Source organism: Homo sapiens, chromosome 16, assembly GCF_000001405.40.
Source record: "Homo sapiens chromosome 16, GRCh38.p14 Primary Assembly".
Taxonomy (NCBI): domain Eukaryota; kingdom Metazoa; phylum Chordata; class Mammalia; order Primates; family Hominidae; genus Homo; species Homo sapiens.
This window is the reverse complement of record NC_000016.10, coordinates 73,909,311-73,925,301: the sequence shown is the minus strand read 5'-3', so window position 1 is coordinate 73,925,301 and position 15,991 is coordinate 73,909,311. Positions and strand designations below refer to the sequence as shown.

The 15,991-nt window shown below is 39.3% G+C and overlaps 1 annotated feature.

Moving 5' to 3' along the window:
- Nucleotides 6,498-7,697: an enhancer, noted in NCBI's record as "MED14-independent group 3 enhancer chr16:73951504-73952703 (GRCh37/hg19 assembly coordinates)". NCBI's record gives its function as "activates an origin of replication core promoter dependent on BRD2, BRD4, P300/CBP and CDK7 cofactors, and independent of MED14, by STARR-seq in HCT116 cells {active_cell/tissue: HCT116}" and the evidence as "EXISTENCE:reporter gene assay evidence [ECO:0000049][PMID:35650434]".

Here is a 15,991-nt window from a genome sequence, read left to right as displayed (position 1 = left end):
CACATATGCCAAGATAGACCATATCTTGGGCCATAAAACAAATCTCAACCAACTTAAAATAATTGAAATAATAGTGTATAGTAATGCGTTCTCTGAATATGATAGACAATAGAATCAAACTAGAAATCAGTAATAGAAAGATAATGGAAATCTCCAAACACTTAGAAACTAAACAACATATTTGTAAATCCATTGGTAAAACAGGAAGTCTCAAGAAAAAGTAAAAAAACCCCATGAAATCAAATGAAACTAAAAGCATACCATATCAGAACTTGTGGGACATAGCTAAGGCAATGCTAAGAGGAAAAGTTATAGCACAAATGCTTATACTGGAAAGGAGGAAAAAATTCCAAATCAATAATTTAAGCTCCCACCTCAATAAACTGGAAGATAAAAATGAACTGAGGAAGTAGGAGGAAGGAAATAATAAAGATATGAGTAGAAATCAATGAAATAAAAAATAGTAAAATAGAGAAAATCAATAAAGAGCTGGTTCATTGAAAAGATCAATAACATTGACAAACCTAGCAATACTGATAAAAGAAAAAGAATACACAAATTAATATCAGGAATGAAACAGGATATCACTAGATGCTTGTAGACATCAAAAGAATAATAAAGAAGTATTACAAATAACTCTTTATACATAAATTCGATAAGAAACTACTAAAACTCACTATGAAACATAATTTGAGTAGTTCATTAATTCTTAAGAAAATTGAATTCATAGTTTAAAACCTTGTTAAAAAAATCTGGCCCCGATGGTTTCACTACATAATTCTACCAAATGTTTAAAGAATTAAACCCAATTCTGCATAATTATACAGAAAATAGAAGAGGAGGGTACACTTGCCAGTCTTACCAGTTCATTCTATGAAACTGATAGCGCCTGATAGCAAATCCAAAGACAGTGCCCCCTGCTCCAAAAAAAAAAAAAATTATAGATCAATAAAAAAACAAGTTTAAACTTTTGAAGGTGATGGATATGTTTATGGCATTGATTGTGGTGGTAGTTTCACTGGTGCATACTTACTGCAAACTCATAAATTTGTATGTGTTAAATATGTACATCTTTTTGTATGTCAATCATACCTTAATGAATTGCAACTGTCAGTCATTTGCTAGTTAGCTCTCAAAGCTTTCAGCCGCCATTCTCACCCGTCTGTGTTCTATGATTACGTATGGTCAGGGTGCCAGGACCTTGCAAGTGACTTCTCCCAAATTTCACCTGGCTTCTAGTTAGGTCCTACCAATTGGTGATCCTGGGGAGAGACTGGAAGACAGAATATAGGTAGGAGTTACTTTTTTTTAAATTTTTTTTTAATTTTCATTTACAGCTTCCATTGACATTTGTCCAGCAACAGCAGGCAGCTATAGAAGGCAGCGTGTGTGTGTGTGTGTGTGTGTGTGTGTGTGTGTGTGTGTGTGTGTGTTTATGTGTATGTGTGTGTGTCAGTTCCAGCACATACTGCCTGGAGCCTTTTTCTTGGTCTCAGTAGTACCCAGCAGTCTCAGCTTTAGTCAGGTTCTCCTCATAGTCCCAGCACGGCAGTTCAGCACTCTTCTGCACTTCTGGGCTCTGGTAATACAACCACCTCTACCTTCCACCTCTAGTCATGACCGTTGCATTATCTAGTTAGTTACTAGTCTTTGGGTTGCCTCACCACCCTTTTACTCATTCAGTCATTTTGAAAACTGTATGATCAATTCCCTGTATTAAGTTCTTCTGTTTGAAATTCCTAGAGTGTTTCTATTTTCTGACTTGACCCTGGCTAATGCATCAGTATTGGGTGAAACAGATCTAGTGCTCTGTGTTATGCGAATCACTCCATAGCGAAAAGGCAATATTCTTTCCATTTCTTGATCTCAAAGCTGAGCCATCGTTCCTAGAGGTTTTCTTTTGGCCCTCAGTCCCCTGGGATGGGAATGTCACGTCACATTGGCACACAGTTCTCTGTCTTGCAAGAGAGGGACGCTTGGATGCTGATACCATTATTTTTTTTTTCTAGAAATATCCACCTGAACAGGCTAAATAAAAACAAAGATACATTTGTCCACAGGCTCTCATACATTAAATCATTCTGAATTGGTGTTTCCTAGACAGTTTTTGATTGTATGTTCCTGGAAAAAAATGGGGAGATAAACATAGAGCTCAACTTCTTAGTTTTACCAAGGAAGCATGTTAAAAGGCAGAAACAGTAGTATCAGTTATCACAGTCATATTATTACCAAAAACACAGCTTAGTAAAAAAAAAATTATAGAAATGGATAGTATTTTAAATTTCGTATGCCATATAAAATCTCACCATTTGTCCTTAATTATTAAAAAAAATACCATGCTCTATTAATAATTTTCACTGGTCTGGTGTGTGGGAAATCCTGCTGGATAACTTAATGTTTATTCTGTAGCACATATAGAGTGCATCCTAGAAACATTTCTACTTGTAAGTTGATTGAAACAGCACTGTCCTAGAAAACTGATGCTTGTTAATTTGAAGATATGTGTCCTCTTTTTTTGTTTGTTTTTTGTTTGTTTGTTTGTTTTTTTAAGACAGAGTCTTCCTCTGTCACCAGGCTGGAGTGCAGTGGTGTGATCTCGGTTCACTGCAACCTCTGCCTCCCGGGTTCAAGTGATTCCCCTGCCTCAGCCCCCCAAGTAGCTGGGACTACAGGCGCATGCCACCATACCCGGCTAGTTTTTTGTATTTTAGTAGAGACCGGGTTTCTGGTCACGATCTCCTGACCTCGTGATCCACCCACCTTGGCCTCCCAAAGTGCTGGGATTACAGGTGTGAGCTACTGCGCCCAGCCATGTCCTCTTTTTTTAGAGTTGCTAAGCACAAGTTGAAGGTGGTGCTTTTATGAGACACTGAGAATCCGTGTCTCCAGGAATCTGTATTCATTAATGCCTAGGTGTAAAACTACAGTATAGAGTTGGGGAAAGGGAAATTCCAGAGTATTCTCTGAACACTCAGAGGTGGAAACTTTGGGAGTATCTGGAGAAAGTCCCCCTGACTCAGGTATTTGCTTCCTCATAATGGATTCCAAGTGACAACAGTGATATTCACCCAGGTAACTTTGCAGGCTCACAAGCCAGTGCAAAACATGTCAGGTGCTGTATGGTGATGGTACAACAGAGAGTTTGCAAGCACACCTGAGACTCTCCCTTTAAATCCTCTCAGATGTTCTTCTGGATGAGGGGCTTTGAAAAAGAAGCATAAGATGCTCTGTTGGCTTGTGGGGTAAGAGTAGGAACTTGGTTTGATTGATGTTGATGTGACTTCATTTACATCCACCGAGGTGAGCACTGAGCAGTGCTTGATTAATACATGGAATATACGGTATCAGGTAGATTTTGATGCATAACAAACTACCTCACAACATAGTAATATAAAACAATGAACATTTATTGTTTCTTCTACTTTTGTAAGTTAACTGGGCAATTCCTGTGCTCTGTGCTGGCTTGACTGGGGCTGGATGGCTCTACATGTCTGTGGCCTCCAGTAGAATGCCTGGAAATACTGAGTTTAATGGGATCTTTTTCCATGTGGTCTCATTTTCCAGGAGGCTAACCCATGATTTCACATGTGGTGGTTTCGGTGCCCAGCAGCAAGAGAGGGCAAGTATTTTTTGAGCCTCTGAATGCATCATGTTTGTTAATTTTCTGTTGACTGAAGCATCCATTGGTTTGCATGAGCTCATGTGACACAATGGATTCATCATCCAGATTCTCAGCATTGCTGTTAAGTTTCTAGGTGGTAGAGGTGGATTCCATCATTGGTAAGAAAATGTTTGTCTTCTCTGGCAAGCATCACTTGTGAGTCACCATTTTTAGTATTGCGCCATTTATGAAGCCATTGTCTTTCAGCTCGAAACCCAACCTTACATACCCCGCTTTGTGATTCCAGGGGCTAGAGCCCTGCAACCCCCATGTTTGCTTGGCCAGCAGGCTCCCTATGAAGCTCTGCCAATAGGGTCCACTAGAAGGATAGTGAAAGGTGGAGAGAAAAAAATGTCATGCCCTTATGGTCTGCTTTTTTTTGTGTGTGTGTATTTCCCATCAGCTTCTTTTTTTTTTCCCAGTGAGCCTCATTCCAGCATCATTTTGCCACTCTGTCTGTGGAAGTTTCTTCCCACAGTGGCAGTGGAATCCCATCTGAGGTTTTCCTGACATCTTCAGGACCAGCTTCATCATGTTGCATTCAGGTAGACCAGTGCCAGCCACCTAGCACTGCCTCCTCAGAGCCCCGAGTTGGGCTCCTTCTCCAAAACCCCTAGTTTTAATAATTCCAACCTCTTCTCTTTATTCTCCTAGTCATGGGGTGGTTGGCACTTACTTGAAATATTAGGGTTCTTTTTATCTTTTCGGTTAGCTGGTTAACAGTTCTTTCCACTCAGTTAACAATTCTTTATGTGAAATTTTCTGTTATGTTAACTGGTATAGTTTATGTTTTCTGACTGAGCCTTGACTAATTCAGGGAGGAAGAAGAAACAGGGAGGGGAAACTGGGTTGAAATATTCAAGGCGTCAGGGTGCGGTGGCTCATGCCTGTAATCCCAGCACTCTGGGAAGCCGAGGTGGGCGGATAACTGAGGTCTGGAGTTCGAGACCAGCCTGGGCAACATGGCAAAACCCTGTCTCTACCAAAAAACCAAAATATTAGCAGGGTGTGGTGGTGCGTGCCTGTAGTTCCAGCTACTGGGGGCTGAGGCAGTACAATCGCTTGAACCCAAAAGGCACAGGTTGCAGTGAGCCGAGTTGGTGCCACTGCACTCCAGCCTTGACGACAGAGTGAAGGTGTATCTTGGGGGGAAAATAAAATCAAGACATCACTGGTTTTCTGCCATCAGTTTCTTAATTCCAATGGCAAAGTATTGAAGACGTCACCTAACTCATTGTAGGAGGCTAGCATAACCTTGATAGCAAGACCCAACAAGGATGGTGTGAGAAAGGGAAAACAACAGCCTATCTCTCTCAGAAACACAGATGCAAAATCAAAAACAAGATGTTAGCAATTTGTATAAAGGTAACAATTTGTGTAAAGGATACTGTTTTATGACCTGGCCTAGTTCCTGGCATGCAATGTTGGTTTAACATTAGAAAATCAATTAATATATAATTAGTTATACATTATTGTTTAAAAGAGAAAAACATATAATAATTTAAATAGTTTCAGAAAAAGAATTTGATAAAATGTATTATAGCCAATGTAAGAGTTTTTAGCAAACTAGGAATAAAAAGAAACATCTTTTTATCTGATAACTAATATCTAAGAAAAACCTGCAAAAACCATCATTCTTAATGGCTAAACAGTAAAAGACTTTCCCTTTGAGATCAGAAAAAAGATAAATGTGTATCTATCGTCACTTGATTGAACACAGCACTGGAGGTCCTAGCCAGTGTGACACGGCAGGAAAAAGAAATAAAATGTATAGGATCATAGAGGAAGAAATGAAACTATCATTCTTCATAGATGATTATATTGTGAACGTAGAAAATCCAAAAGAATCAATTGAAAAATTAATTAAATTAGTAAAGACTCAGCAAGGTTGCTGAAAACACAATAAATATGGAAAAATAAACCACATTGCTATATATTAGTAACAAATAGAAAATAAATTTTTATGTATATACCATTTCTAAGTGTATCAAAAATATAAAGAACGTAGGAATAAGTCTAATCAAAGTTGTATAAAGCCTGTTATCTGAAAATCGAATTTTATTGAACAACTTTCAAGAGGATCTGAATATGTGGAGAAATATGGCATGTTCATGAATGATAACAGTTCTCCCAAAACTGATCTACAGGTTCAGTGCACTCTCAATCAAAATTCCAAATTGATACAAGAAATGTCGGTAGAAATGCAAAGGATGAAGTGTTGCCAGGAAGCTTTTAAAAGAAAATATGTTTGGGAACTTCCTTACCAGATGTCAAGATATATCACTGGACCACATTGATACAAGTGTAGAAATGGTATAGGTATAAACAGGCCGATGGAACAGAATAGAAAACTGAGAAATAGACCAACCTATGTTTATACATTTCATATATAGACTTGAGGGGAAAGGAGAAAACTTTAAGTAAATGATGCTAGGACAATTGGTGATCTGTATGAACAAAAAAGAAATTAGACCTCTACCTTATGGTATACAAAATAACCAATTCCAAGTGGAACAAAGCCCTAAAGATGTAATAGACAAAGCAATAAAGCTTTTATAAGATAATTATTCATGACCTCAGGATAGGGGAAATTTTCTTAACCAAGGCACAAAAACACTAACCATAAGGGATAGATGTAATAAATAGAACTACATTAAAATTAATAACTTAACATTCATCATAAGATACCGTAAAGAGAGTGAGAAGTAAAACCATCTCATGGGGAGAGATATTTGCAATATATTCAAGTGACAAATAAGTAGTATCCAGAAAATATAAAGAATTCTGGCAAAGGAATAAGAAAAAGACGAATCCAATAGACCCTTCACAAAAGGACAAACCCCACTGGCTAATAAACATATGAAAAAAATGCTTAACCCCACTGGTAATCAGGGTACTACAAATTAAAACCAGAAAGGGAGATCATTACGCACATTCATACTGAACATACATATTTTATGCTTTTCTGTATATGTGATATACTTCATGGTTAAAAAATGCATGAGTGTACCTCACGTATTTTTTATTTGTCTTGTAGTACCTAATATGGAAGTCACAGAATCCAGAGTGTGAACATGGAAGCTACAAAGTTGCTTCTTTTGAAATTTACTTTCTCACAAAAGTTTCTTAAAGAAGTAGTTTTCTGTTTATTCACATGTATATAAATGTTGATGTTAATTATGAATGAAAGTTAGATCAGTTCATTTCAGATTTGGCATAGTGCTGTATTAAACCCTCAGGAGGCATCGGTCCTAGCCCAGCTATTTTCGTGGTTCTCAGAAGCTTACCATCCCTGGCCTAGGAATTTTTTCCAGTGGGTTGCCACCATCACGAAAACCTCTGCCTGTAATCCTCAGAACAACTTGCAACCTGGTGAGCACAGAGTGCCCCAGAACATGTTGCTAGAAGCTCCTCTCCATTTGCCACCCCGAGTGGAAACTCCATTTTGTCACTTCAACATCGATGCTATTCCTTTGGGGAACAAAATTTCCACTTATGAAAAAGAAAAGCAACAAAACAGCAATTATGTAAATAGAATGGAAGGCAACCAGTAGTGTCCTGTTTGAGGTAATTTTCCCATAATGAGCGTTGGGGGAAGGAAGAGAATGGGCAGGACGGGAGGTTAAAAATTGGAAACTGTGTGTGTGTACGTAATAAGCTTGCACAGAAGGCAGATGCACATTGTGGAAGTCATGTATAGGGCACTAATCTGTGACAGAAAGATTTACATAATATTCTTTCAGGGCAGGTTCCCCATTTTAAAAAGATGGTGAAATGCAGACAGCATGCCTGACTTTAATCAATCTAAATCAGGTAAATAATTTGCACTCTCAGATGAACCCCCCATCCCACTACCCACCCGCATATCCTCACTCGCTTAATGGATCCATTACAGCTTAGAGGGTAAAGAGAACTGAAGTTACCCTGACATGTACGTGCAACAGAAGTTGAACGTAAGAAACACGGCATTTCAAAAGGCAGAATGGTACTGATAGGCTTTTGCAATTTTGCTCTTGTAGATCATAATTAAGAATTGGAGCACTTATAAGGAGAAGAAAAAATATCCCTAAATCGTGAAAGAAATGTTGTTTTAAACAACCTCGCCCCTTCCCCCAAACAAACAAACAAAAAAACTGACTTAGAGGACTCTGGGTGAAATGGCATGCTGTATTCTGCCCACAGTGAGTCCCTGTGGTAAGATGAACATTACGTAAAACGTAGACCAGTAACCCTCCTCTGGCTGTGAATTTCCATTAGGTCCTGGGATGCCTCCTGGCAAAAGAAGAAAAACAAGACTGTAAGATGCTGTTCACTCCGTGTGATGTCACTTAAAACAGGATAGGGACGAAGTCCAACTGCCTTCTTTTAAATGTGATGACAATTCTTACATTTTAAGCTTACCCTGCTTTCATTCATAAACACCTCTCTTGTCTGTTATTCTTTCCATGACATTCGTATAACTTGGAGTAGCCTCTTTCTCTGCTTGTAAATGGGTACTGGTCTCTTGTGTGTGTCTGCATCTGGTGCAGGGAGGCTCATGTACTTGCTCCAGCAGCCCCAGATCCTAGAAGTACTAGATGTACGGTTCCTAACTTTTTACTGCACAGTAGCCAAGAGCTGTTGCAAAATCCTGACTTGGAATACTTAATACCCTGTCTCTATTACGCAAGTTTCAATTAACCTACAAACCTCTTGGTTAGTGTGATGCTTAACTACAGCTAGAGTAATTAACTGCCTATAATTACTTCATAAAGCAATTGAAAGTATTGTTTCACATGCGTGGAAATGTAAAAAAAAAAAAAAAACTTTAAGATTGGTTTCTTCCATTGAGTACTGTACATGAAATATATTATTCATTGTATATGTATGAGTTTTTTTTTTAGGTAAATACAAAATATTGAAAGGGAAGCAAGCCATAGAATATACTCAAAACACCACCAGTGTTGTTGGTGGTTTTCAATCTTTTCGCTTTCTCTTTAGATGACGAATACAGGTACAAAAAAATGAGATGAGCACAGGAGAGAATTCTAATCAGGTTCAAAAAACAAAAAAAAATGCAGTTTATGTGGTAGGTGAGTCTGATTTGCCAGGGAACATTCCTGTTTCAGATGTGACTGTCAATTAATACTGCACATTTATCATCATAAAATGTTTATTTTGACTTTTTATTTTTAAAGAAAGGCAGAAATTTATATATGTTTTCACACATACTTACATACACATAGAGGGCAAAGCAAGGAGCTGTCTCTCTGGGGTAGGTATCACTTGCCCCTGCTTGGAAGAAAAAGCTTTCTCAATGGGATTACGTCTCCTCTCATAACCTATCATTGTCTGATCAGAAATTCATAACGCAGCCCATCTATTGCATAGCTCAGCCAGGGCTGCAGGATTGCATTTAAATAGGCAAATGCAGACTTGGGCGTTGACAGTCTCTCCGTCTCTCTCAATCTTGCTCTTTCTCCTGTCCTCCTTCTAATCATATTGTCTCCCTTTTCCTTTTTCTATCTTATTTTTTTAAAAAAATTCCTTCACCCACCACCATTTTAGATTAGGCATGAACTAACGTGATGAGAAGTTGTCAGGAAATGGAGAATGGATGGTGAGTGGAGAGGCAGAGGAGGGAGGAGGGGAGAATGAGATGGAGGAAAATTGTAAATTGTTGCTGTCATACCCTTGCTGGGACAGTAAAACCTAGTTGCATTTTTTTCTTTTTTCTCTCTCTCTCTCTTTTTTTTTTTAAAGGAAATATTTCAGGATAAATTACGTAGCAGGCAGCCTTCTCCAACCAGCAAGATATCTGCGTATATAAAGTTTACATATGTCCCTTATTATCCCTCTTCTTTTTGTGGGGTTGATAATGAAGAAAATGCATTTGAATCTGTACATTGTCAATCTTGGCTTCCTTTGGTCTCCTGGCGACCCAGGGAGTCAATTCTGCAGAGTTGTAATCTGATGACATTTAACTTGGGTCTGATAAAGTCGTAATTCAGATTCTCTCTTCCCACTCTTTCTTCTCATCTTCTCCCACCCCAATAAATAGAAATCAGATTTAAGTCCAAAAACTACAGTGGAAGGAAAACTTGTTTAATTGATAACATGTTAAAGCTATCCGTAGAACTTAAATGTTGCACGTTGCAGGCTTTTGTGTTCAGACAGATGGCTGAATGTTAATCAGACTGGTTGGGCTTTCCTGCAAATGACTGAAAAATGAAAATTGCTGCGAAAACCCTGCCTTTTGTCCTGCCTCCCTTCCTAAAGGAGGAGGGAAAATTCATTCAACTTCCTGCCAGATTGCTAGCTTTTAAAAGTCATGCTCCCTCCCTCTCCCACCCCCTGTCTCTTCATTGGGCTGGAAAGTGAGTCTTGAGCTATGAGTTTCATTGTGAGGTTTTTGCTAAAATTCCTCTCTTCGTGGCTACTTCCAGAGAATTAGATCCCTGGATTGTAAGGTTTCTGTCAGTAATGGTTAGTTAAAAAAGGAACGTTTATAAGTATTTATTTTTTTAAATCACCATCAATTTACTGGTATTTAAATTTCCTCCAGCAGGCAAACTCCAAATAAATTTTGTCCACATGGGAAAACATATGGTATGAAGGGTATTGCACCACTTGTAACAAATACCTCAGCTTTAATAAAAATGATATTCTGCACGATAATGTTGTACTACTTCTGACGAGGGAAGGATGATATTGTATATTAAAAATGTGGCTGGCGGGGAGCGGTGGCTCACGCCTATAATCCCAGCACTTTGGGAAGCTGAGGCGGGTGGATTACGAGGTCAGGAGATTGAGACCATCCTGGCTGACACAGTGAAACCCTGTCTCTACTAAAGCATACAAAAAATTAGTTGGGTATGGTGGCGGGTGCCTGTAGTCCCAGCTACTCGGGAGGCTGAGGCAGGAGAATGGCACGAACCCGGGAGGCGGAGGTTGCAGTGAGCCGAGATTACGCCACTGCACTCCAGCCTAGGCGACAGAGCAAGACTGTCTCAAAAAGGTGGCTAAATATATTCCCTTTAAGAATTATCTCCATGTGAGTGTTATAACCTCATTTCTGTCTTAGGATGTTAAAAACTCATTGGCTTTAACTGATGAGGGATTTGGTAACCAGGAGAAAAATAATCAGAAGCGGATGCCAGTTGTCCGGTGAACTACTGACATAATAGGATTTCCTGAATTTACTCTGTGACTGCGTTTTTTTCCGGAGGTGTCCACTAACTTGTAGGCACTTGACCCATGGAGTATTCAGTTAGTGCAATATTTGGCCCAGTTGCTATGGAGAAAAACGTAAACCAAAGTCACTAAAGACCCAAATAAGTCTCCTTTTTTTCTGAGGTTTGCATTGATAAAGAAGGGAGCTCTTATACTTAAGATGCTTGCCATTTTCTCTGTCATTTCAGGGTCTGATGAGCCCCTGGATGTTGCTATTTTCTCAGGAAGGGCTAAATGGTACATTTCTGGTGGGTCAGGGTTTTATAGATTTTTTTCTTTTAAAATAACAGCTTTATTGAGATATAATTCACATACAATACAATTCACCCATTTAAAGTGCACAATTCAGTGGTTTCTGGTATATTCAGAGTTGTACAACCATCATCACAATCAGTTTTAGAACATTTTCTTCACCCAACAAAAGGAAATCTCATACCTATTAGCAATAACTCCCTGTTTCCTCCCAACCACCCCCATTCCCTGCTTCCCATCCCTAGGTTATGCCCTAGACTTTCTGTATCTGTGGATTTGCTTCCTCTGGACATGGGCTGTAAATCGAATCATACAATACCAGGTCCTCTGTGACTGGCAGATGTGGTTCTAAACATTTCTTGGGACATCAGCTTCTTTGGGAGTCCAGAAAGATGTATATGCACACAAATATTGAGAACAGTGTTGGGGGCAATTGCCCCTCCTAACATCTGCAGACCGCCACATAAGAGCCCCACTCACTTGGCGGAAACACTCTTTGTTCATATGAGCAGAGAGATTCAGAGGGGAGGAAGTGATAGAGAATGAAAAGAGGCCCTTGAAGCTGGCCTGTGGGAAGCCTTGTCTTCCCTGCCCTGGAAGTTTTCCTGTTTTCCAGTACTATGTACTTTCTACCTTGATACATTCCAGTAAAGGAAAAGACCGGTAGAGTCTACCTATGGCTTTCCCGAAGCCACAGATATTCATTGCCTGCCTTTAGTAATTGCTGGGATTCACAGTAAAGTCATGTATTTGATACTAGAGTCCTTCAGCCTAAAGCAAATTAAGATGGGTCTGAAAGAAGTACAAATCGTAGATACAGTTTTATGTCTCAACTATTTGCCATTTAATTCACCTCTGCTCTAAGCCAACTAAAGGTAAAAAAGACATGAAAGCTTTGGCAGTGCTTTAGGATTCTTTTCTAGTCCATAGGCAGGCAGGTAAGCAGGTAGGTAGGTATTAAGGCAATAGATAGATAGGCAGAAAGGCAGGCAGGCAGGTAGATAGATAGGCAGGTAGGTAGATAGGCAAGTAGACAGGCAAGTAGATAGATAGGCAGGTAGGAGGCAGAAAGGTAGGTAGGTATTAAGGCAGGTAGGTAGATAGGCAGGTAGGCAGGTAGATGGATAGGCATGTAGGTAGATAGGTGGATAGGCAGGTAGATAGATAGGCAGGTAGGCAGGTAGGTAGATAGGCAGGTAGGTAGGTAGATGGATAGGCAGGTAGGTAGATAGGCAGGTAGGAGGCAGAAAAGCAGGCAGGCAGGTAGGTAGGTATTAAGGCAGGTAGGTAGGAAGAAAGGCAGGCAGGCCGGTAGGTAGGAAGGCAGGCAGGTAGGTAGGTAGGTGGGTGGATATATAAATAGATGAACAAATAAGTAAAAGCCATAGGCAGAGGTCCAAATATGCTTTTTAGGAATCTAGGGGCTGCCTCTTTGCCAAGTGGCCATTGGTTACCTATTTACACATACTTTTTTTCTCTTGCTAGCTTCCCGTAAGCTGGCTATGTCGGTAAAAAGATAGTCTGTCTCACTCTGCTTAAGCTTCTTATGTATCCAAGCCTGCCCACTGAAACTCTAAATGTTCCACTTTTAGAGCAGAGTCTGCCAGCAGCCACATAACAGTCTGGCATCTTTTGCAGACTTTCTTTGCCATCCAGGAATCATGCAAGTGTGGCCAGCCCATTCGGCTGTTCTTAAGATTGCTTCTCACACACACTCTCCCATTTCCTAGTTCAGACTGTCTGACATTCTCAGCTTCCAAGTAAGCTGCCTGGAGAGAAGCCCAAGCACACAACTGTGTCTTTCCTCTATGGTTTTATCCAGAAGGGAGTTACAGCACAATTTAAACGCATCAAACTATCTTAGTTTGTGGGGAAAAAGATCTAGCCAGGTAATGCACGTTGTTTTATCAATGGTCCTTTACTGTTTGTTTTCTTTCCTCTATTACTTCCTGCGTACTTTGGTTGTTTTCTTTTGCACATTCATTTTTTTTCTTACCCTGGGAATCTTATTTTTATTTTAAGAGCAACAGAATTTGTTGGAAAACCAATTTTACACACACAATGAATCTTTATCTCCATATTATTATAAGCAAGAAGTAGTAGGAAATACATGGGACAGAAAGCACAATGAATTTATTTCTCATTTTCAGCTATAAGCTAGGGCCTAATTCTGTCTAGAGATTGATTAAAAAGAAATACTGGGTTTTGCAGTATTCTAGCAGGGTGGGCATATACCTAGGGTACAAAGCTGGCTATCCATCACCATTTCCCTCCTCACTGTCTCGGTTTTGTAACTGAGGAGCAGGGCAGGAGCCTGGGTTTGTGGTCAACCTGAGCTTCCTCTAGGTCATGGCAACTGGAATTTTTATCTATTTAAGGACACCCTCATCAATGATTGCCTTTACCAAAGGCAACACGAATCATGTGTTTTTTTTTTGTTTTGTTTTTTGTTTTGTTTTCCCCTTTTTTTTCCCACTATGTCAAATGGGAAATTAAAAACTGTAAAAATCTGGGGGATGAAAGAAATTCATGTATGTGTCAGGAGGCAAGTACACAATTCACAACTCACCTTCTGAGATGATGTCAGTTGAGGTTCCTTTGCCATAGTGAAGAAGTTGTTGATTCAGATAAGCCTAGCAGAGAAGTTTACCAACATGATGACTGCAAGGTTACGCAGATGTCAATGGATTTTATCACTTATTTTGTCCTTTGAGATTTAAATGGATGGCTCAATAGCATATCCTCTAGGAAATCCAAAGTCCCCACCAAAAATGCAGTTAATTCTGGGGCTCGTGTTTCTGTGGCTCTTTCCAGCTCTAGGAGCTTGTTCCAGTGAGTTCCTGGTTCCCACATTGACTGCACTCTACCTGGCCTTTTCTTTCTTTTCTGCATTTCAGAAAATGACTTCCGCCAGCCTTGCCAGTTTTCCTCCAAACCACTCATAGAAGACATGTGTGAAGAACTTCAAAAAAAATTTTTTTTTAATTTTGTGGTGACAACTCAATAATGAATGTTACATACACACATTCTGGGAAGATGTTTGGCCAATGAACACCAGAAATTTCTGACTTCCTTTCTTTGATGGCTTCGGTCTTCTGCCATGTTGCCCAGCTTTTTCTTCCTCTACTCCACACCATTCTCATTTCTTCTCTCCTCCTTCCCACCTCTTAACTTCTATGTTGGTATGTGAAAAGTGGTTTAGTACGTTTTTTGGTGGTTGTGTCTACTTTTCAATTGAGCTCATCTTCAACATGCAGAATGGTATATGAAAGGATTTCCTACTTGAAGACGGGTCAGTCCATAGCATGAATGCTACTGGTTGTTGTTAAAATTAAAACCATTCTGCTGAATGGTTCCATTAGAAGTGCAGATATTAAGGCAGAGCAAAATCAAGCCACACTCCTCCCGCCACCACTAACAACTTTGGAGGATTCTTGCCATGAGTCCTTGGGTAGTTCTACTTGTGACCATTAAATATGACATTTATAGTTTCTATAGTGCGTCAGTGAGTTGATTTTAAATCACTGAAATATTCTCATTTGAATTCTTAAAGTGGAAAAGAAACATTTTTCCTCCAAGAGTTGAGAACAATTGAAGCTACAAAGAAATAATAAAAGGAAGGAACTGTTTGAAGGTTCCAGAAGTAAATATGAAAAGGTATTTTTGGATCCTGCTAATGAATAAAAATGTGTCTGTTGAAGCCAATATTCAGAATTCCTCAGGCTAGTTGTGAAGCTTTATAAATGAATAAGTAAATAAGTTTTGTGGATGACAAACATGAAAGAAAAAATCCAAATCCATTTGGAAAATAATTTGAAACTAAACTTCTTACAGAAAATGAAATTTCAAAGGAATCTGGACAATAATTGGCTACATAAAGTAGAGGAAAATGATCAGTGTTTGAAAATTCACAAACCTCTAAAAAGGGTACTGTCTCTCAGTTGTTACTAGTTTATCTCTACAAAGATAAAACATGACATAGAAATAATAAATGAAAGTATAAAGATAAAAATAACATCAGAATTAAATGAAAACAAATCCCAGGCAAAATTTTTGCTAAGATGAAAATAGACTGTTCGATTCAGCCCTGCCCTTTGTATTTTGGATTCAAATTTGGCTTAGTTGATTTTCTGATCAAGTACAAATCAAATGTAGAAAATCAGAATTGAAAGATTTTTAGAGCCCGAATGCAAATACTTTCATGTGTGATTCAGATTTGTTTTCCTGGCCAGAAGCCTGCTGGTTTTCATCTGTATTTCTACATGGCTGAAGCTTCAGTCTTCTCAGTTTTTAAAACCTGGTAAGAATTACTTGCAGGTTAGCAGAGATTTCATGATGTCATCAAATATTTTTTGATGAGAACTCCTGGACGTCTCATACCCACCCTATCTTCACATGAATATTTCAAGTAGGTGAGAGTGTGAAATACAAGGCTTAATCTCTTGTTCAAACATTTCGAAAGGTCTAGGCATGTAAAACGTGCACACACTTTGGAAAGGGCTTCAATGCTGTTGAAAACTGGTCTAGTTCAGCATGCAAAGCAGTTGATGGATCTATATGGTTGCTGTGTACATACCTTACTGTCCAGTGGGATTCCTTCAGAAAATATGTTGTAAGGTAATACAAAGTGAGTTCTGGCCGGGTGTGGTGGCTCATGCCTATAATCCCAGCACTTGGTAGGCTGAGATGGGTGGATCATTTGAGGTCAGGAGTTCTAGACCAGCCTGGCCAACATGGTGAAACCCTCGTCTCTACTAAAAATGCAAAAATTAGCTGGGCATGGGTGGCACACACCTGTAATCCCAGCTACTTGGGAGGCTGAGGCAGGAGAATCACTTGAGCCTGGGAGGCGGAGGCTGCAGTGAG